The sequence below is a fragment of the Homo sapiens genome, chromosome 3 (assembly GCF_000001405.40).
Source record: "Homo sapiens chromosome 3, GRCh38.p14 Primary Assembly".
Lineage (NCBI taxonomy): Eukaryota > Metazoa > Chordata > Mammalia > Primates > Hominidae > Homo > Homo sapiens.
In genome coordinates this window covers 15,285,823-15,306,582 of record NC_000003.12, presented here as the reverse complement: position 1 = coordinate 15,306,582, position 20,760 = coordinate 15,285,823, and the positions used below count along the sequence as shown (strand labels likewise).

The 20,760-nt window shown below is 46.6% G+C and overlaps 1 protein-coding gene across 7 annotated transcripts in view, besides 1 other annotated feature; it reads left to right on the top strand.

Annotated features, from left to right (window-relative positions):
• The window catches only part of SH3BP5 (SH3 domain binding protein 5), an 87,028-nt gene that overhangs the window by 34,798 nt on the left and 31,470 nt on the right, over positions 1–20,760 (top strand). For 6 of the 7 annotated variants that reach the window (XM_047449242.1, XM_011534251.3, XM_047449240.1 and 3 more), the window contains one exon: positions 2,352–2,480. In XM_047449242.1, the coding sequence (XP_047305198.1) occupies positions 2,352–2,480 (129 nt within the window). Of the gene's footprint in view, positions 1–2,283; positions 2,481–20,760 lie in introns of all 7 variants that reach the window. The other variant, NM_001018009.4, reaches the window with a different exon arrangement.
• Positions 18,071–18,246: a silencer, noted in NCBI's record as "fragment chr3:15329844-15330019 (GRCh37/hg19 assembly coordinates)". NCBI's record gives its function as "represses an EF-1alpha promoter that drives an FKBP-Casp9 reporter gene in an ReSE screen in phorbol 12-myristate 13-acetate-treated (for megakaryocytic differentiation) K562 erythroleukemia cells {active_cell/tissue: K562(+PMA)}" and the evidence as "EXISTENCE:reporter gene assay evidence [ECO:0000049][PMID:32094911]".

The following is a 20,760-nucleotide window of genomic DNA, read 5'->3' as shown; positions in this document are numbered from 1 at the left end:
GCTCATGATCATGTGTTGTTCTTTTGGAGTATCCACTTCCCCTTTCTTTTCTTTTCTTTTCTTTTGTTTTTGTTTTGAGACAGGGCAGGGTCTGTCGTCCAGGCTGGAGTGCAGTGGTGTGATCTTGGCTCACTGCGGCCTCAACCTTCTGGGCTTAAGCGATCTTTCCGCCCTGGCCATAGGCACACGGCACCATGCCCAGCTAGTTTTTTGTTTGTTTGTTTGAGACGGAGTCTCGCTCTGTCTCCCAGGCTGGAGTGCAGTGGCGCGATCTTAGCTCACTGCAAGCTCCGCCTCCCGGGTTCACGCCATTCTCCTGCCTCAGCCTCCCAAGTAGCTGGGACTACAGGTGCCCACCACCATACCTGGCTAATTTTTTTTTGTATTTTTAGTAGAGATGGGGTTTCACCTTGTTAGCCAGGATGGTCTCGATCTCCTGACCTCATGATCCACCCGTCTCGGCCTCCCAAAGTGCTGGGATTACAGGCATGAGCCATGGTGCCCGGCTGCCATTTCTCTTTTTTTTTTAAACTCATGCATGTGTCCTTCCTTCCCCTAGGTGTGGCTTTGTCAGGCAGATGCCTGAGGGAGAGGTAGAGGGGATGTGGGGTTTGAATCACTGACCTGATCCCTTCCAATAGGTCCTCCTAGACCTGGGACTAACTTATTTAATTTTTTTTTTCTCTCCTTATACCTCTTGGATCTGGTTTCTTGACTTTTACAACATGATTAAGCCTTGCACAGTCCTTCTTTGCCTTCCTAACTCCTATCAAGGTCCAAGTTGCTAGTTGCTGTCGCCAGGATGGATGGCCACCCTTATCTCTTGCCATTCTCCACATTCCAGACCTCCGGCCTCCTTCAGTTTCTTGCAGACACCATGCTGTTCCCATTCCCCTCTTATCTGGACACAGGCTCTGCTGCCTGCTTGGGACTCAGTATTTTCCTCCCCTCCCCCAATTTCCTATTCATGCTTTGGACTTCTGTTTAGATAGTACTCCTCTGGAAGTTTCCTGTGACTCTCCCTCTAATACATGGTCTGGCGCCATTCTTCCCTGCTGAGTTCCATGGCGACTGGACCATTCCCACCCTGGCACTGACTTTTCTGGAACGGGCTGTAATACCTACCTCACCCACCAGGCTGTAAGTGCCCTGGAGACAGGGCCACGCCCAAGGCCCAGCACCAGGTCTGGCATGTGGTAAATAAATAAATAAATTTGCACTCAGTGTTTAACATTGACAGCATCATTTGGACTGAAGCTGTCAGAGATGGCTGGACATTCTTCCCCAGATAGAGGTTTGGTCAGTGTTGAATCTATGTCTCTGATTAAAGTCCTGAGCTTTGACAACATGCTGTCCAGAGGTCCTGGACAAAGCTTTTTAATCTATACCGTGCTATGCAATATAGTAGTTGCTAGCCATGTTAATTAAAAAATTTTAAATATAATGAATTAATTTTTTTTTTTTTTGAGACAGTGTCTCACTCTGTCACCCAGGCTGCAGTGCAGTGGCACGATCTCGGCTCACTGCAACCTCTGCCTCCTGATTCAAATGATTGTCCTGCCTCAGCCTCCTGAGTAGCTGGGATTACAGGTGTCCCCCACTATGCCCGGCTAATTTTTGTATTTTTAGTAGAGACGGGCTTAATTTCCAAAGGGTCCATCCTACCGATATCTCCCCCACAGTGCACAGCATGTTGTGCACATACACAGTAGGTGCTCAGAAACTTTGCGTTGTTGTTGCTTACTAAGCTTTTTTTTTTTTTTTTTTTGAGACAGAGTCGTGCTCTGTCACCCAGGCTGGAGTGCAGTGGCATGATCTTGGCTCACCACAAGCTCTGTCTCCTGGGTTCAAGAGATTCTTGTGCCCCAGCCTCCTGAGTGGCTGGGACAGCAGGTACCTGCTACCACGCCTGGCTAATTTTTGTATTTTTAGTAGAGATGGGGTTTTGCCATGTTGGCCAGGCTGGTCTCCAACTCCTGACCTCAAGTGATGGGCCTGCCTCGGCCTCCCAAAGTGCTGGGATTACAGGCGTGAGCTACCACACCCGAGATGATTAAAATTAAATAAACTAAAAACTCCTTTCCTCAGTCACACCGGCCAGTTTTAAGTGCTCAGTAGCCACACGTGGCTGGTGGCCGCCACACTGCACTGTGCAGAGCACAGGACGTTTCCGCCGTGGCAGGAAGCTGTTTTGGGCGGTGCTGCTCTAGACACTGTCTTGTAAAGGTGCTACTTTAGGGGTCTGTACGTTGGGTAAAGTCCTTTGTTGATGTTTCTGTCTAGGTCCAGTAGGTGTTTGCAGATCCCTTCTTAAGCCTCAACTGTGTTTCCTCGGTTTCCCCTGGCTGCAGGATGCTCGTCAGAAGTTCCGCTCTGTTCTGGTTGAAGCAACGGTGAAACTGGATGAACTGGTGAAGAAAATTGGCAAAGCTGTGGAAGACTCCAAGCCCTACTGGGAGGCACGGAGGGTGGCGAGGCAGGTAAGATAGCCCCATAGATGTCTCCCCTACCTCGAGCCTCACTACCCCTCAGTTTTAAGGGTGCCTTTGACTGTATCACCTGCTGAAGGTTAGAAGCTCGAGTCCAATATGTCTTAAATGCAGTGACCCACCGCCCCGCAATCTGCTTCATTCCAGTGCTCGACACTATTAATAGGGTGTGAGTGCTGGCATTTGGATGACCCTGCAAGTGGGTGCTCTCCCTGAGTTGGTGCTGAGTGCACTTAAGGGGACGTGTCCAGAGGGTGTTCCTCCTCCGCTCCTAATGACAACCTGTCAGACAGCAGTAGGAAGATTCGCTTACTGCCTCGCGTTCGCCTCACTCTTGGGAGTGTTTAGCCTTCTGCTTCTCTTGAAACATCGGTTCTTCTTCTTTTTCTTTTTTTTTTTTTCCTTTTTAAGATTTGGCAGGTGAGTTGTTATACACTCCTTAGCGGATTCTGACTTCCGTGGCCATCGTCCTGCTGAAACTTTGGTTCTTTGTCCTGAGAGCCCAAATAAGAAGCAGTGAAACGGAGACCAGAAGGGGAGTGGCGGAGGGGACTGTGATCAGGCGATTGCTGGGGGCTGCGTGGAAATGGGTTCTGGTTTAGGAGTTGGTCTTCCTTTGGCTGCTGTGTGACGCGATGTGCCACTTGTGTCACCTGCAGCCTCTGATAGCCAGGCCCTGTGAATGGGGAAGGTAAAGAGCCCTCAACAGTTACTAGTACCTGCTGTGTGGCAGGCTCTGGGCTGGGGGCTTTATTCACCTTCCTCAGCCTGCTTCGGCTTCCCGATTAGAGAGCTAATGTGAATCACCAACCCTGTGATGCCTCTTGAGATGAGAGTTCAGATTTCCCAAGAAGATCTAAGCAGTTGGTCCAAATTGTAGTTCACTAGCAAATGACCCAGTGCTGTCCCTGTGGTGTGTTTATGACATGATGGAAGATGCTGCCTTCAAAAGTGTCCACTTGTAAGAAGATGTTTAGTGAGGCTGGGCATGGTGGCTCACACCTGTAATCCCAGCACTCTGGGAGGCCGATCACTTGGTGGGCAGATCACTTGAGGTCAGGAGTTCGAGACCAGCCTGGCCAACATGTTGAAACCCCTCTCTTCTAAACATACAAAAATTAGCCGGGTATGGTGGTGGGCGCCTGTAATCCCAGTCACTAGGGAGGCAGAGGCATGAGAATCGCTTGAACCTGGGAGGTGGAGGTTGCAGTGAGCCGAGATCGTGCCACTGCACTCCAGCCTGGGCGACAGAGCACAAATGTGTCTCAGAAAAAAAAAAAAGAAAGAAAAAATGAGAGAGCAACAACAATGCAAAGTTTCTGAGCACCTACTGTGTATGTGCACAGTGTGTTGTGCACTGTGGGGGAGATATCAGTAGGATGGACCCTTTGGAAATTAAGTCCCAGAAATCTAGGAATATATTAAGATAGACCCATAGAGAATGAGGGCCAGGACTTAACCATTCCTCTTCTTTTTCCTATTTCCATGCACCTCTCATTTCTCTTCAAGGGAGCCCCTTGCTGCTTTGGGAGTTCTACCAAGATCGTACCTGTGTGTTTGGGTTTTATGCTCTGAACCCTGAGCTGAAGTTCCTGGTTGGACCTTGCCAGATATGTTGCCTTTATTCCTAGACAGAGTGGCTGCCTGAAACCCTTCTTTCTTCCCTGGCCTGGTGCATTGGGCTGTATACTTCAAAGTTCTGATTGCTCGTTGGTCTGCACAAGCCCTGAGCAGCAGCCACTCCCTTTTTCCATCTCCAGCTGGGCCCTGCCCAGGCCTCTAGAATTCCCGGGAGAAGAAACCCTTCTCCAAAAAGCACTTTCCAATTCCCACAGATTCCAGCACCCTGAGGCATTCCCCCTCCAAAGTGTCCACGTTGGATTAATCTTTGAGATGCCCCCCAAGTTGAGGATGTGTCCTACCCACTGTAGGCCAAGGTTGTATCATTCTTGACCTGAAACGGAAGTATGGAGGGTTCAGGTTAGGTTTGAGGAGAAGCTTCTGAGGATTTAATTTAAACATTGGATAAATATCGAGGAATTCAGAAAACCTCCTTTCCTGAAAGTCTTTAACACTGGGATTTATGGTTCTGTGATGCCATTTAGCCCACGCGTATCTATTAAAAGCAGCCCACGTGCCCATGCTGCAGAGTGATTGAAGGATGGTCTGTTGAAGCATCCCACTGGAGTCGCGGCAGTGGCTTCTCTACCTGAAGTTTTCCTTGTCTGGTCCCTGAGCTCAGGTTTGGGGGCAGAGATGGCTCTAGGGGGCTTTGTGTTGGGGTTTCTCAAGGCTGGTCCTCTGATTCAGGTCACTCCCTTGGCTGTGCTGATGTGAAACGTGCTCCTGCCTCAGGTCTTTGGACTTGCCTTTCCCTCTGTTTGGTGGTGTCCCTCTGTTTGGCGATGTCCTGGTATTTTCATAGCCCGATTTCCTCATCTTCAGGTTTCTGCTCAAATGTCTATCCCTTTATCCATGAGGCCTTCTCAGGCTAACATTTAAAATGGTTAACTCCCAGCCCACCATCCCTGCCAGCCCCAGCCCCCATGCCTTGCTTTCCTTTTTCCCTGTGGGGCTTCTCCCCATATGACCTGTTATAATTTACTTGTTTACAGTAAGTGAAGCTCAGCAAGGGCAGAGAGTTTCATTCGTTTGGCTCCTTGCTGGATCTGCAATGCCAGCATACAGAAGGTGCTCAAATATTGTATAAATCAATAAATGAACAAACTAGTGAATGATGTTGGGGAGCCACCAACAGACCAGAGGTTCCTCCCCTGCCCTCCCTTGAAGTCATGAGCATTTCCTCTCCGTTGCTCCTTTACTCACAGCCTCTTTCCCACCTGGTAGCTAGGTAAGCAGATGGAGAGTGGCATGACTGGCAAATCCAGCCTCGTCTGGGTTGAGTTCATTCAAATCCCGTTTAGCAGTTGGGTCCCCAGCTGGCTGTGACACATCCTGGAGCAGATTTCACACCACTCCCTGCTCTTCTGCACCCCAAATCTTCTTTGTTGGGAAAAGAGGTAGGAGGGAGCTGGCTGGGAGGCTCCTAGTCTGTTGGGAAGCAGTGGATGGTGGCTCCTCTCCATCTCTTCATCCCTTCTCTTGGCTAGTGAGGACAATAGGGCAATTACTGAGTCCTGTGGGCAAGGCACTGAGTCATCGGTCGAATCAGATGATGCCCAGGTCCTGGGGATGAGTGAGTCACTCTTAATGGGCAGCTCCCAAGATGAATGTTGAGAGCATCCTGCCTGGCTTTATGCCTGCAAGCCCTCCCCGTAATCTCCTTCCTTCTTGCAGGTGGGCAGGAAGAAGCAGGGTAGAAAAGGTTAGATTCCTAATCTAACTCCTACCCCTCAACCCCAAGGGACCTTGTTGGTCAATAGCGAAGGAACTGGAAGGATGTTCAAAGGCTGAGGCAGGGCACAGATGTCACATTTCATCTCTGTGGAGGGTGGGCTGCTCAGGCCAGATGGATGAGCTTGTTTGTGTGTGAATGTTCCTCTCACCTTCCTGATGGTGAGGGGGGCGATGTCCACTTCCAGATGCTGCCAAGTAGGACTTCCTGTTTTCTTCCTCTTGTCCCCCCGCCCCCGCTTCCTTTTTATATTTACAAAGCTCTCTGGTTATGTACAGCAGGGAAATGGTGCCTGAGAGACTCCTTCAGATAGCAGTTCCTTCTAGTTTGAGTCAGGAGGCACTGCGTCCCCAGAGTCCCTGCATCCTCATTCATGAAATGCTGGCAGTCAAGGGAACAGCCCTGGCTATCTCATGAGGTTGGCCTTAGGATTTAAGTGAGATAATGTGTTTGACAATGGAATCCCAGCATGAGCTTGGGTTTCGGCTTCATTAAAAAATTAGAATTTATTGTAGAAAATTTAGAAAATAGACAGAAGAAAATAATCCTAGTACCTTCTCTTACTATTTGATGTATATCCCATATTTTTTTCAAAAAAAAGAAATAATGATAATTACATGATAGTCATGTATCAATGCATTTTCCACTTTTGATGGTTACATTATTATTATGTGAGAGAAGGTCCTTATTTGTAGGAAATAACAACTACAAAAAGTATTTGGGGGGGTGATGGAGCATCAGGTACTCACTCAAATGGTTGAGAGCAAAAAGTTATTTGTACTGTACTTTTTCTTAACTTTGTGAATATTTTGAAATAAAAGTACGTATGCCATTTGGAGAAAAAGAAGATAGCATAGTGGTGGTTTTTTATGTCTGGAATATCCATGTCTGTCTATTCCAGTGTCTGGAATATCCATGTCTATCTATCCACTGGAATATCCAGTGTCTCAGTTGAGGGTACTTAAAAGGGAAAAACCTCCCACACTTGATTTTCTTTGAAGAGTTTACAAAGATTTGTAATTTCAGCCTGGGCAACATGGTGAGATCTTGTCTCTATATGAAATAAAAAAAATTTAAAATTAGCTGGATGTAGTGATATGTGCCTGTGGTCCTAGCCCTTAGGAGGCTGAAGCAGGAGGATTGCTTGAGCACAGAAGTTCAAGGCTGCAGTGAGCCATGATGTCTCTCTTGTATTCCAGCCTGGGTGACAGAGCAAGACCCTGACTCAAAAAAAAAAAAAAAAAAAAAAAAAAAATCTAATTGTTGAGCTGGTGGAAATTGTATTGGTTCATTAAAAATTTGCATCGATTTTATTTTTCCTGATATGAGCTCATTTTTCAGCCAATGAGTCAGATCCAGTTCTGTGATCTTGAAAACCAAGTCCAATTTCTGCCAAGCAGAGGTAGAACATGATGTGTGTTTTCTGTGCCAGGTTGGGGGCAGGGCACTGGCTTTGATTTGAGAGTTTTTGTCCTTGAGCCCAAGCTTGTTTTTAAGGCTGCTTTGACATATCTGCCAGTCCATCTGGCCTTCAGCATATGGTAGGGGAGCAGTCTGATGAGGGCGGAGCCCATGTGAATCAATGACGCTGAAAAGCAGGGTGTATCTTGCTTACCTGGCTCCCTGGGTGCTGACTGGTCTAACAGTGGCTTTGGACCTGTCATTTTATCACTATCAGTCCCAACCCTTCTTTTTCTCCTCTTTAAGAAAATTGTGGTAAGGTACATACAACACAAAATGTACCATTTTTACCATTCTTTTTTTTCTTTTTTGCCTCTCCCCCATTTTAACCATTCTTTAAGGATGGCATTAAGGCATTCACATTGTGAATGCACATTCACTTGCTGTGCAACTCTTACCACCATCCATCTCTAGAACCCTTGCATCTTCCCAGACTGAAACTGTACCCATTCAACACTAACTCCCCAATCCTCCCCTCTCCCAAGCTCAGGCAACCATCACTTCTGTTTTCTATTTCTATGAATTTGACTACCCTAGGTACCTCATATAAGTACTGAGGAATCATACAATATTTGTCATTTCGTTACTGGCTTATTTCACTTAGCATAATGTCCTCAACATTCATCCATGTTATAGCATGTGTCAGAATTTCCTTTCACTGAATGTATATACCACGTTTTATTTATCCATTCATCCATGGACATTGGGCAACCCTTGTTATTTTTGAATGGTTGGAATGCGTCAGAAGAGAGCAGAGCACTTTGCAAACTTGATGGGCAGCACAAATGCAAAATAGTGCGGATTATTTAGTGCTGAAAGTTGCCTGTTTTGTGTCTGTGGGGCTATATAAGGCCATGTCTTACATATAACCTCCTTTAGGAAAGGAGATGAGTGGGAAAACATTTGAAACTTGTAGAGTGACTTGTAGGCTCACCTCTTAAAAGCTGTGGGACCTTTGGCAGGTTACCTAATCTCTGTGCCTCATTTTTTTTCATCCATAAAATGGAGTTGGCTAATTGAGGGATCTCAGGCCTGTAATCCCAGCACTTTGGGAGGCCAAGGCGGGAGGACTGCTTGAAGCCAAGAGTTCGAGGCCAGCCTAGGCAATGTAGTGAGACCCAGTCTCTACAAAAAGTAGCCAGGCATGATGGTGCATGCCTGTGGTCCCAGCTACTCAGGAGGCAGAGGCAGGAGGATTGCTTGAGCCCAGGAGTTCCAGAGTGCAGTGAGTTATGATTGTGCTACTGCATTCCATCCTGGAGGACAGGGTGAGACCTTGGCTCTTTAAAAAAAAAAAAAAAAAAGAAAAAGAAAAGTTGTATATCAGTTAGCTTTTGCTATGAAGCCAACCACCCTAAAACTTAATGGCTTAAAACATTTATTTAGCTCATGGTTTTGTTGGCCAGTTTTTCTGATCTCAGGCTTAGAGCTGATCTCTCACATATACAGTCAGTTGATGGATTAGCTGGGGGCTGGCTGACCTTGGCCTTATCTGTCAAGCAGTTGGTTGGTGGTCAGCTAGGGTAGCAGGGGTGACTAGGCCACGTGTATCTTTCATTCACCAGGCTAGCCTGGTCATTTTCATACAGTGTTGAGATTCCAGCAACAAAAAGGGTGAGCCCTTTTCAAGCCTCTGCTTGTTTCATGTTTATTAACATCTTACGGGCTAAAGTCAGTCATGGGGCCAGTCCAAATTCAAGAATTGGGAACGATAAAGTCTACCTGCAACTTATTCTAGCTACTTTTGCAATTTACTACAGCGATTGAATTAGTACATGTAAAGCATTTGGATCCAATAAATGTAAGATTATCCTAGATGTATTTTTCTATCAAATGTTGAGTATCTGGTGAATCTGCTGCCTTGTAATAAAAAAAAGATCACCACCACAAAGAACCTGTGGGTAGAAGAGGAAACAGGCCTCTCCTGGCTGGGAGGGGGCTATGGAAGATAGAGAGATTGTGCCAGGTGGAAGAGTGAGCCCAGGTAGGTTGAGTACATAGTGAGTTATTTGTGAGGGCAGAATGTGCTGGAGGATCGAAAATGATGAGGGAGGGAGTAGCTGACTTACCTTTTGACTGATCAAAAGCACTCTGTGCCCAAAGGGATAGTGTGGCATGGGCCTTGAATGGATGGAGAATCGTGTTTTGAATGAAATGAAATGGGTCGAGCATATCAATTAATCTCCTGAACTATTATGTTAATCCTAGAGGAACAGAGTATTATAGTGATCCTTTGTTGGGAAATTCTAGGCATTGATTTTGTTTGTAGAAAGCCTGCCATGGCCAGGAGTGGTGGCTCATGCCTCTAATCCTGGCATTTTGGGAGATTGAGGTGGGAGGATTGCTTGAGCCCAGGAGTTCAATACCACCCTGGGCAACATGGTGAGACACCATTTCTTTTTTTTTTTTTTTTTTAAGAAGCCAGACATGGTGGTGCTTGCTTATGGTCCTAGCTACTTAGGAGGCTGAGGTAGAAGGATTGCGTGAGCCTGAGAAGTCAAGGCTGCGTGGAGCTGTGATCGCACCACTGCGCTCTAGTCTGGGTGAAAGAGTGAGACCCTGTCTCAAAAAAAAAAAAAAAAAGGAAAAACACTTCGTAAGTGGAGGATGAGAGGCTGATGTTCTGCAAAGGTAGGATATAAACTCAAGGATATGTCAAATGTAGGTTATTACTTTACATGTCTGTGTGGGGATTTAAAAAAATTTATTATTTTCTTTTCTTCGGTAGCTATTGACTGAGCACCTACCATATGCCAGGTATTGTTCTAGCCACTTGTTGACCTATCAAACATAGAACAGAGATCCTGTCCTTGTGGAGCTGACATTCCCCTCATGGCAGTCTTATAAAAGGGTGTGGGATGGGCTGTTTTGAGCAAAAGTAGAATCTTTGTTACTGACCTGGATAGGGGTGTGTGTGTGTGTGTGTGTGTGTGTGTATATGATTTCCCCATTTGAGGTATGGAGTGAGACTGTGGGAGGATTATAGCAGGTCAGGGGATTGGCAAAGAAAAGCATCTCCCCTTTGTCTGCAGTGGCCACTGTGGAGTATACAGTTGGTCTGTATCCTCCAGGAGCCCCATCTTCTTGAAGGTGGTGTTATGGCAGAGGTAAATACAATCAGTTCTCATTATCTGTGGTAGTCATATTCTATAAAGTTGCCACAGACACTGAATTAGCAAGTACCAAGGCTTTGCTCCTAGGGGAAATAGAGGTTAGGTTCCTGAGAGCCTCTGGTCACAACATTTTTGTCAGCTGATCAATACATAACCTTGTTATATGTGTGTTTCTGTTTAAAGACCCCTTATTTAGTGTGTTTCTTACAATCAATTATATGCAATATTTCTTGATAATAAAACACTAGCTGCAAAGGGTTGAATGTTCTCCTGACTCTGGGTGATGTGACTATAAACTTCTTTGGCTCTTAGCCTCATGATGATGCTGTCCACTCTGCTTTTTTAATCTGTCATGACCTCTCAGGCTTAGTGCCAGATAATCCACAAATCCAGCCATGTTTTCATCTTTTCCATAGCTTCGTCATGCACAGCGGATGTTACTTTAGCACTTACTTGAGTGAACTCATGTTCAGATTGGCAAATTTCCTCTTCCTTTTTCTGCATGTGTCGTTTTGTTGACTCATTAACACTGAACTCACAGCCAACAGTGGTATAACTTCTGCCTGAACGAAGCTCATCTAACGCAAGCATTTTCTCCATAAGGCGCATCACAGCCTTCTTGTACTTAGGAGCACTAGAAAGCACTTAATTGCTATACTTGGAGGCCAATTTATAGAGAAAAATCATCAACAAAAAGCACAAAAATGTCAAAAACACAGCACTAAAAGGACCGAGGAAAGGACACTTGTGTACAGTATGAGAGCCAAAACAAGAAGGCAGGGTGGCTTCTTGTTGGACATCAGCTAGAAACGTATGTATCAGGTAGCTCATTTTTTCACCACTCTGTGCATGTCGATGGATGGCCCCAAGAACACTGCAAGTGTTGATTTTGGGGTTACAAATAAAGCTTAGTAAGTAGGCAAATTCACAAATACGGAAGCTGTGAATAATGAGGACTGACTGTATTTGCCAAGAGCCACATGGAGAGGCTTATTTGTTAGTGCGCTGAACCATGTGGCTCTGATGTAGATGGCAAAGGGAAGAAGCTAGGGAGTGTGTCACTGTGTGTGTGTGTGTTGGCGGGAGATGCTGCCCATCAGGAAGGCTTGAGGGGAAAGGCTTGAGGGGAAGGACACACTGTGCACACTCCGAAGCACAAGAGGAAGGGTGGCTGGTAAAGACAGAAGAGCAGAGATCTGAGGGGAGGGGTCAGTGCAGATATGAACTTGGGTAAGGAAGCCAGAGCCTTGGAAAGAGAGGCTTAGGGGAGCTAAAGGACCAGTCAGGAAAGGAACAGCATGGACAGCTGAGGGTGCCTTACGCCTCAGCCTACCCTTCAGACTTGGTTGAGAAGCTGCAAAGTAGCCATGGTAGGCTCTTGAGTTAGGGGGCTTAGGTTGTGTTTGAGAAATTGATGTCCTTACATTAATGGCAGCTCCATTTTTTGCCATTTTTTGAGCGCTAATGATGTATTAGGTGCCACACACACTGCTCTGTGCGGGGGCTGTCATTGTTTCCCTTTTGGCCTTATAGTACGAATGAGGAAACTAGTCTTGGAGCCCAAAGACTGGGCCTTTACATAAACCTTTCCGGTGTTGTGGCCTAATCTAAGAGAATGTGAAGGGAGACTGTAACAGACTTGGTTAATTATCTATCCAGAATGCAGGGAAAATGGGAGTCAGTGGTATGGCGGTGACAGTTTACTGGATGGAAGGGAGGAAGAAAGGAGGATGGAAGGGAGGAGGAAGAAGAGTAATTTCAACACTCTTTGTATACCAGGCACTTTCTAAGTGTTTTACATGCATGAGGGGGAGTTACGTAAACATGCGCGCGCACACACACACACACACACACACACACACACACACACACACTTACTTTTGCAGAAGAAGAAACTGGGGCTTAGAGTCTGTGTTCTCTTAAGGGGCTATCTGCAGCCCTGATTTGTTGAGGCTGTGCTAGGGGCCTGGGTTTGTGGTCATAGGTCTTTTATGTACATTATCTCATTTAATCCTTACAGCGAGTACTTTTTGCAAAGTGGTACTCTTTTCTTTTTCTTGTTTCTTTTCTTTTTTTTTTTTTTTTTTGAGATGGAGACTTGCTCTATCGCCCAGGCTGGAGTGCAGTGGCGTAATCTCGGCTCACTGCAACCTCTGCCTCCCAGGTTGAAGCGATTCTTCTGTCTCAGCCTCCCGAGTAGCTGAGACTACAGGTGCACACCACCACACCAGGCTAATTTTTGTATTTTTAGTAGAGACAGGATTTCGTCATGTTGGCCAGGCTGGTCTCTAACTCCTGACCTCAGATGATCCGCCTGCCTCGGCCTCCCAAAGTGCTGGGATTACAGGTGTGAGCCACTGCGTCCGGCCTGCAAGACGATATTATTTTCATCATACTGAGGGGGAATAATCACTGAGGCTTGGGGACTTTAACATCACAGACCTTGCGAGGACAGGAGTGAAGGTTTAAACCAAGTCTACCTGGTTCTGGCTGGTGCCTGGCACATAGGAGGCATTTATGACTATTTGCAAATCTGAAAGACACTCTGGCACATCTGAGGAGAATGGGCTTTTAGGACTAAAGGCAGTTTTTGAGCTCATTGGTGCAGTTATTTCCCTGCACACCCCTGCCTCTTCTTGGCTAGGGTAACTGAGAAGCTCTTGTTCCGAGAAGCTCTTGTTCCAAGAATCTGGAGTCCTTGGGAACTTTCCCCTCATGGTGCCCTGTTCCTGCTAGGACTTCAGTGTGGCTTTGTCATGCCTTCCTTCTTCCCCGTCACTTTATCTCTGCAGAGCCACTTGCCTGCCTGGGGGCAGTTCTTGCCACGGGACTTTGGGTGAGGAGGTCTGGCTCAGTGACGTTCTTCCCTGTGGCCCTGGTCACATTCCCCCTGGGTGGCCACAGGCCAGTTCCTGGGAACTGCGTCATTCCTGCTGCCCAAAGTAAGGGCACGTAGTGGAATGACAGGGCATCTGTCTCAAAGCAGAGTTCCTGGAGATTTATGGCAAGAACTGAGCATGGACTCTTAACTCTCCTTCGCCTGAAAGATCACATCCTGCCTGACAGTCTTGGCTGAAGATTCTGGGAAAGAAGCAGCTGCACTTTGGAAACTTGGAATCTTGAATTAGGATGGGGTCAGGAAGGAGATGTGTTGCAGCTTTTGACCCAGGTCAAAGGCTCCTGACACACACAAGTAGATTTTTGGGCTTCTGCCAGAAGGGTTGCACCTCCTGCTTGGCTGGCTCTGCCTCGGGCGTCTGGGGCTGGAGCAGGGAGAGTGTTGCTGATCTTGAGGTTTTCTTTTCTTTTTTCTTTTTAGATGGAATTTCGCTTTTGTTGCCCAGGCTGGGGTGCAATGGTGTGATCTCGGCTCACCACAACCTCCGCCTCCCGGATTCAAGCAATTCTCCTGCTTCAGCCTCCCGAGTAGCTGCGATTACAGGCATGCGCCACCACGCCCAGCTAATTTTGTATTTTTAGTAGAGATGGGGTTTCTCCATGTTGGTCAGGCTGGTCTCAAACTCTTGACCTCAGGTGATCCACCCACCTTGGCCTCCCAAAGTGCTGGGATTACAGGCATGAGCCACCGCGCCTGGCTTAGGTTTTCTTTTCTGGTGATGCCATGAACCATTTGCATTCAACCCCATTCTGTCTGGCAGGTGGCAGGAAGTCCGCGTGGGGGACTGGTTGCAGGCAGGTCTTAGCCAGGAAGCACTGGGCTGGAGGAGCTGCCCTCCATCACCTTGTTAGTTGGGAGGTTTGTCATGGGCAACTCCCTTTTTCTTATCTCCTTTGCTATTCACAGAGGCATGGCTGAGCCCCCCTTGGTGCTGCTGGGCAGGCAGTGTTCTCTGTGAAGCTAACAGGTGTGGTTTGTCACCACAGCATAGTGGTTAGAGGGGAAACAGGGTGTGGAGTTTGGTTCCCTGAAACCATGATGCTCTTCAGATGTTTCCTTCCTTCTTCTCAACTGTACTCTGCTTTCAGTAAAGTGATTGCATGGACATGGATAGCCCCTTCCCCTCTGTAAACCACAGGCATTCCCTGGCAAGAGTGGCAGAGTGATTAATTTTTCAGTGAAAGGAAATCAGAGCATAGGTTGTGTTTCTGCTACGAGTTTTGTCGACACAGGCTGGCCTTTTTATGTTGCCTGGTGACGAGGTTTGGGCCCCGGCTGTGCACTCTTGGTGCACCTTCTGTTCCTTTCCTGACTCAGAGGATGCCCCTGCTTTCCTTCCTTTCTTTTCTACTTCTTCCCCAGCCCTTCCAGTTGTGACTTCTATGAAAATCTACCCTGAAGAATCTGATGAAATTATTCATGCTGAGAAGTAAATGACTGATAAGACTTAGAGATTTATGGTCTCTGGGGCTTCAAGTGGTTCTGACTTACAAACATTCCCATAGCTTGGAATACCCTGCTTCCAACCTGGTGGGACTGCATATTCCCAACTCAGGGTTCATCATGCTGTGGGAACCTCTGCACATGTGAGAGACAGAACTACACCCTTTACACTAAGTGGGAAATGCTTAGAAGTGCAGGCTGTAGGTAGACTTTTCATTTCTACCCAGTGGGATGTCCTTGTGGAGTTTAAGCCAGAAGTAAGATTGGCGGATAGAACATGGGAATACAGAACACCCAGTTAAATTTCAGATTTTTTTTTTTAGGTATAAATTTGTTCTATGCCATATTTGGTACATAAGCTAAAAAAATTGTTTACCTGAAATTCAGATTTAACTGGAAGGCCTATATTTTTATTTGCTAAATCTGGCAGCCCTACCAAAAGGGAATTTGTAGTGTTGATCAGCCAGAGAGAGAAAGTAGTTTTGGGGTCAGCTGCCCTGTCTTGGGGTTCCTGAATCCACAGCATGTGGAGCTGTGGAGGAACCCTGGCTCCCACTTTGTCATTCCTTAGCCTGTAGCCTTGAGTGGGCACAAGTGAACACAGACAGGAGAGTTGAGTGATACTAAAAAGCATGCGAATGCTCATGCTGCTGTTCTAGCTACTCCCAAGCCTGGTGTTTCTGGGACGAAATTGAGTTTCTAAGATAAGGAGCTGGGTCTAGTATTTTTTTCTGTCCACCCCAACCCTCACTAGCTTGGTTTTGCTGAGAGCTGGTCAGCTCCCGGTAGAATTCCGAAGGGCTTCATGGGAGGCCACATCAACTGGGTCTCTTCTGAAGAATCTTCTGGAATGTGGGTTCCTCAGCTGTGTCTTCCCCTGTCTTCTCCAGCCACTTCCTGTTTCTGCCTCCCACCAGTTCTTTCCCCTTCTCCATTCTCGATGGCCTTTATTAGTTTGATATTTATTAGTTTCTTCCATTTAAAACTTTCATGGGCATGGGGGGAGTTTACCTTCTCATGGAGGATGGAGCACCTGTTTGCTTCAGTTAAGGCAATGATGGGCTCTGGTTAGGAAGCCTCACTTTGTAGGTTTCATTTTGGGTAAGTGGTTTATTTTTATTTTTGAGACGGAGTCTTGCTCTGTCACCCAGGCTGGAGCGCAGTGGCACGATCTCAGTTCACTGCAAGCTCCACCTCCTAGGTTCAAGTGATTCTCCTGCCTCAGCCTCCCAAGTAGCTGGGATTATGAGTGTGTGCCACCATACCCGGCTAATTTTTTTTTTTTTTTTTTTTTTTTGGGACAGAGTCTCACTCTGTTGCCCAGGCTGTAGTGCAGTGGCGCAATCTCGGCTCACTGCAACCTCCATCTCCCAGGTTTAAGCAATTCTCCTGCCTCAGCCTCCCAAGTAGCTGGGATTACAGACGTGAGCCACCATGCCCAGCTAATTTTTTGTATTTTTAGTAGAGATGGGATTTCACTGTTAGCCAGGGTGGTCTCCATCTCCTGACCTCGTGATCTGCCCGCCTTGGCCTCTCAAAGTGCTGGGATTACAGACGTGAGCCACCGCGCCCAGCCTAATTTTTGTATTTTTAGAAGAGACGGGGTTTTGTCATGTTGGCCAGGCTGGTCTCAAACTCCTGACCTCAACTGCCTTGACCTCCCAAAGTGCTGGGATTACAGGTGTGAGCCACCGTGCCCGGCCTGAGGAAGTGGTTTAAATGGAAGTAAAAAAAGATGCCCTGTGCTCATCAATTCACTGTCAGCCCCAAGTGTATGCCCCAGCCCTTTGTCAAAGCACCACACCCCAGAGAAAGTGCTTGGTGTTATTTCTAAAAGCAGTGGCATATCAAAATCTTCTGAGGTTTTTGCATTCTTTAAGTCTCTTGATCTCAGGGTAAGGCCAGCTTAGTGAAGGTTCTCCTTATGTAGAGAAGGGGGGGTGTCTGTTTTCACACTGACCTGGGCACTCATCCAAGGTGGTAGAAGGTATCTACAGTGGGCCCTTTATTGAGAGCAGCTGTTGGAAGGAAATCATGAGGTGTAAGATGCCGTATTAGTTTATGTAGGCTCCTCTTCTGCCTAGCCCCATATCAACACCCAAGGCCATAGGAAAATATATGGGTGAAGGTATGTGGCCTGAAATTTTGAAATCTACATTGTTTGTGCACAAAATAATAGCTGTATCATCTATCAGTTAGGAATTATGTTTGATCGTAAGCAACAGAACTCAAAAATATGGCCTAAACACACAAGGATTCCGTCTCTCAACTAACAGAGGACCTAAATTAGGCAGTCCGGAATTAGTGCTGTGATTTCATGGTCACTGAAACCGAGTGTTCTGTTTGCTGCTCACATCCTAATATTTGAGTCCAATCTTCCACGTCACCTTGTGGTTGAAGATGGCTCCAGGAACTCCAGCCATCACATCTGCATTTCAGGACAGAAGGAGGAAATGAGGAAGGGATATATGTCCCTTCTATTTTAAAGAGTCTACTTGGGAGTCCCAGACAACACATTTTCCATTCATTGCTAGAACTTGGTCAGGTAGTCACAGGTAGCTGCAAGGGAGGCTTGACTTGGAGTCTTTTAGCTAGCCAGGCAAGGTTGTTTTAAGGATGAAGCGGGGAATGGATATTGGGAGCAGCTAACAGACTGCCACGTTGGTACTATAGTTTATCTTCTAGAAAGGCTGTGAGTTAGAAGGAGTTAAAGGTGGGCTTAAGTTACCCACAGAGCAGGCATAAGACTCTTTTGAGCATGGAAATATAGTAACTGCCTGTATCTCTGTATCTACCTGTATCTCCGTATCTATGGTAACTACCTGTATCTCTCTGCTACATCACTTCCCTCCCTTTATGTTGTATGGAAAACCTCCTTTCCCATTCTACATTGTGTTGGAGATTTGTGAGGAAATGCTAGCTTCTCATAAAGTGAGTGTTTTGTAAAGTCACAGAATCCATTCATTCATACTTTAACAAATACTAAATGAGTCATTTCTCATTGTCACTTTTTTGGTGCAATCCCTCATGTCTTACCCAGAGCATTGAAATAGCCTTTTTTTGTTTGTTTGTTTTGTTTTTGAGACAGGGTCTCTCATTCTGTCACCCAGGCTGGAGTGCAGTGGTGCAATCCCGGCTCACTGCAACCTCTGCCTCCCAGACTCAAACAGTCCTCCCACCTCACCTTACAGGTGCATACCACCATGTCTGGCTAATTTTGTATTTTTAGTAGAGACGGGTTTTCACCATGTTCCACAGGCTGGTCTTGAACTCCGGAGCTGAAGCGATCCACTCACTTCAGCCTCCCAAAGTGTTGGGATTACAGGCGTTAGCCACCGCCCCCGGCCTGAAATAGCCTTTCAACCGGTCTTCCTGCCTCCTGAAACCTCCATCCCTCCCTACTGCCTCCCGGCTGAATTATCTTACCAAAGTGAGTTCTACTGATAGTCTTGCTCAAAAACTTTAGTACATGTGATGGTTAATTTTATGTGTCAGCTTGACTGGGCTGCAGTGTCCAGATATGTGGTCAAATATAATTCTGGTTGTTACTGCGAGGGTGTTTTTGGATGACATTAACGTTTAAATCAGTGGACTTAGAGTAAAGCCGATTGCCCTCCCCAGTGTGGGTGGTCCTCATCCAATCAGTTAAAGGTCTGAATAGAGCAAAAGAGGGACCTCCCATGAGCAAGAGGGAATTCTGCAGCAGACGGCCTTTGGTCTTGAACTGCAATGTAAGTTCTTTCCTGGGTCTCCAGCCTACTTGGAGATTTTGAGCTCTGCAGATTTTGAACTTGCCAGCCTCCATAATTGCACGAGCCAGTTCCTTATAATAAATGCTTATATAAACATCCTATCAGTTCTGTTTCTTTGGAGAACCCTGGCTAGTACAGAACATTTCTTCTGTCTCCAGTGTCAAGCCCAAATCTGACCACAGCGCACAAAGCTTTTCACGGCCTGGCCTGGCCCCTCTTGTCTTTCGGCATCTGGACTTCTCTGTGCTGTGGTTCAGTGTACACGCACGTCACTACTCACAATTGCAGGGTACGTCGTGGTGTTCTACTCATGATTTCTGATTACATCAGGGAATGTTTTGCATCATTGCGTAATCCAGTCTTTGCCTGTGACTTCTTTCTTCCCAGACTGACTAGCTCTGTGATGTTCAAAATAGTAGCCATTAGCCACACATAGCTGCTTAAATGTAAATTAATTAAAATTAAACCAAAAATTCATTGATTCACCCTGGCTGGCCATATTTCAAGTGCTCAGTAGCCACACGTGGAGGCTGGCTACTATTTTGGGACGGTGCAGATAGAGAACATTTCCATTATTGCAGAAAGTTCTGTTGGACAGCACTGCTTAGCTTTTACCCTTTGCTGGATTAAAATGAAGGCACAAGTCAATGTAACTTTCATGAACCCTTCCTTTAGCCCCGCTCCCTCGGCTTTTTGTCAGCTCTGCTTCTTTGAGAACTTGAGCGTTATGGTTGTCATCCTCTGAAAACAGACATGTGCATGGGTGCATAAATTATAACTTCATGGTATATGTTGCGTCCCTTTAAATATCATGCATGTCATGTGGGTTAATACCCACAAGCTAATGCTACATAATGCTTGCTTATATGACAGCTGACACTCTGTACTGCTTACTGCGTGCCTTTTCTCTGCACTTTATATGTATTAACTCACTTATTCCTTGCAGCAACTCTATGAGCTACGTTCTGTTATTATCTGTGTTTTGCAGGTGAGGTAACTGAGGCACAGAGAAGTAAGAAAGTACTCAGGGTCACACAGCTAATGAGTCTAGAAGCCTGAGTCTTGATCTGTGTTCCCAACCTCTAAACCATGGGTCAAGAAGCCTGCCCTGGAACCGTGAGCTCCTTGAGAGCAGAAATTGCATCTTATCCTTTCCGCATCTTCATGTTGCGTGGTGCAAAGTAAAGATGAAAAATGAGTACTTGCTTTAAAGAGGAATGCTTGCAGCCCGGCATGGTGGCTCATGCCTGTGATCTCAGCACTTTGGGAAGCTGAGGCGGGTGGATCGCTTGAGCCTAGGAGTTCAAGACCAGCCTGGGCAACGTGGCAAAACCCCATCTATACAAAAAATTAACTGGGCATGTTGGTGTGCTCCTGTAGTCCCAGCTACCTAGGAGGCTAAGGTGGTGGGATCTCTGGAGCCCAGGAGGTTGAGGCTGCACTGAGCCGTGATTGTGCCACTGCCACTGCACTGTAGCCTGGGCGACAGAGTGAGACCTTGTCTCAAAAACAAAAGAAATAAAAAAGGAGTGTTTGGAATTGACAGAATTACAAAGGCTTAAGGTGTAGTCATTTCAACCCTGAGACATTTGGATTTCTCTGTGTGGATATCTTATCCTTTTTCATTCTCAGTTCCATTGGCTGAAGTTTGTTCCCAGCCATTTAGAGCTGGGAGAAGGCCCCTGAGTTCCTCAGACCTGCTTTGCTTGGCAATACCAGGTGGAAATGAGATCTGCCAGGAACCCGGGCTCACATGGAGAGCCCCTGCCACACCAGTTTGTGCCGATTCTGCCTCCCCAGGCAGGGGCGGAGCTGCTACCCTGGCCCTGTCACTAGGCCATTCCCATCCTTCCACAGGCCCACAGGTGGCCTGAAGTGGTATGGCCTCCGGCAGCCAGAGGGGCCACTAGCTGTGTATGCCCTTGTGCTCTGATGCTGTTTCTGATAGCCTGCTCTGGCCAGGGCCCGCCGGCTGCAGCCATGCCGAGCGTCTTCCCACTTACATGATAATAGATCCCTCAGATTTTTCATATGCTGTGCTTACCAGAAAGGTATGTTTTGCTAATTCATGTTTATATTAGGCCCTCATTTTCATCTGTGTCCCTCTGACCTTGAATTCCTTTGCAGATCTTCTTGCAGGTGATAGTTAAAATTAAGCCAAGTTATGCTGATCCAGAAGCAAAGTTAGATTGGAGGTAGGGGTTTGACGTTTCAGTGAACCAGTTGCTCCTTTGGCTGTGTTTAAGTG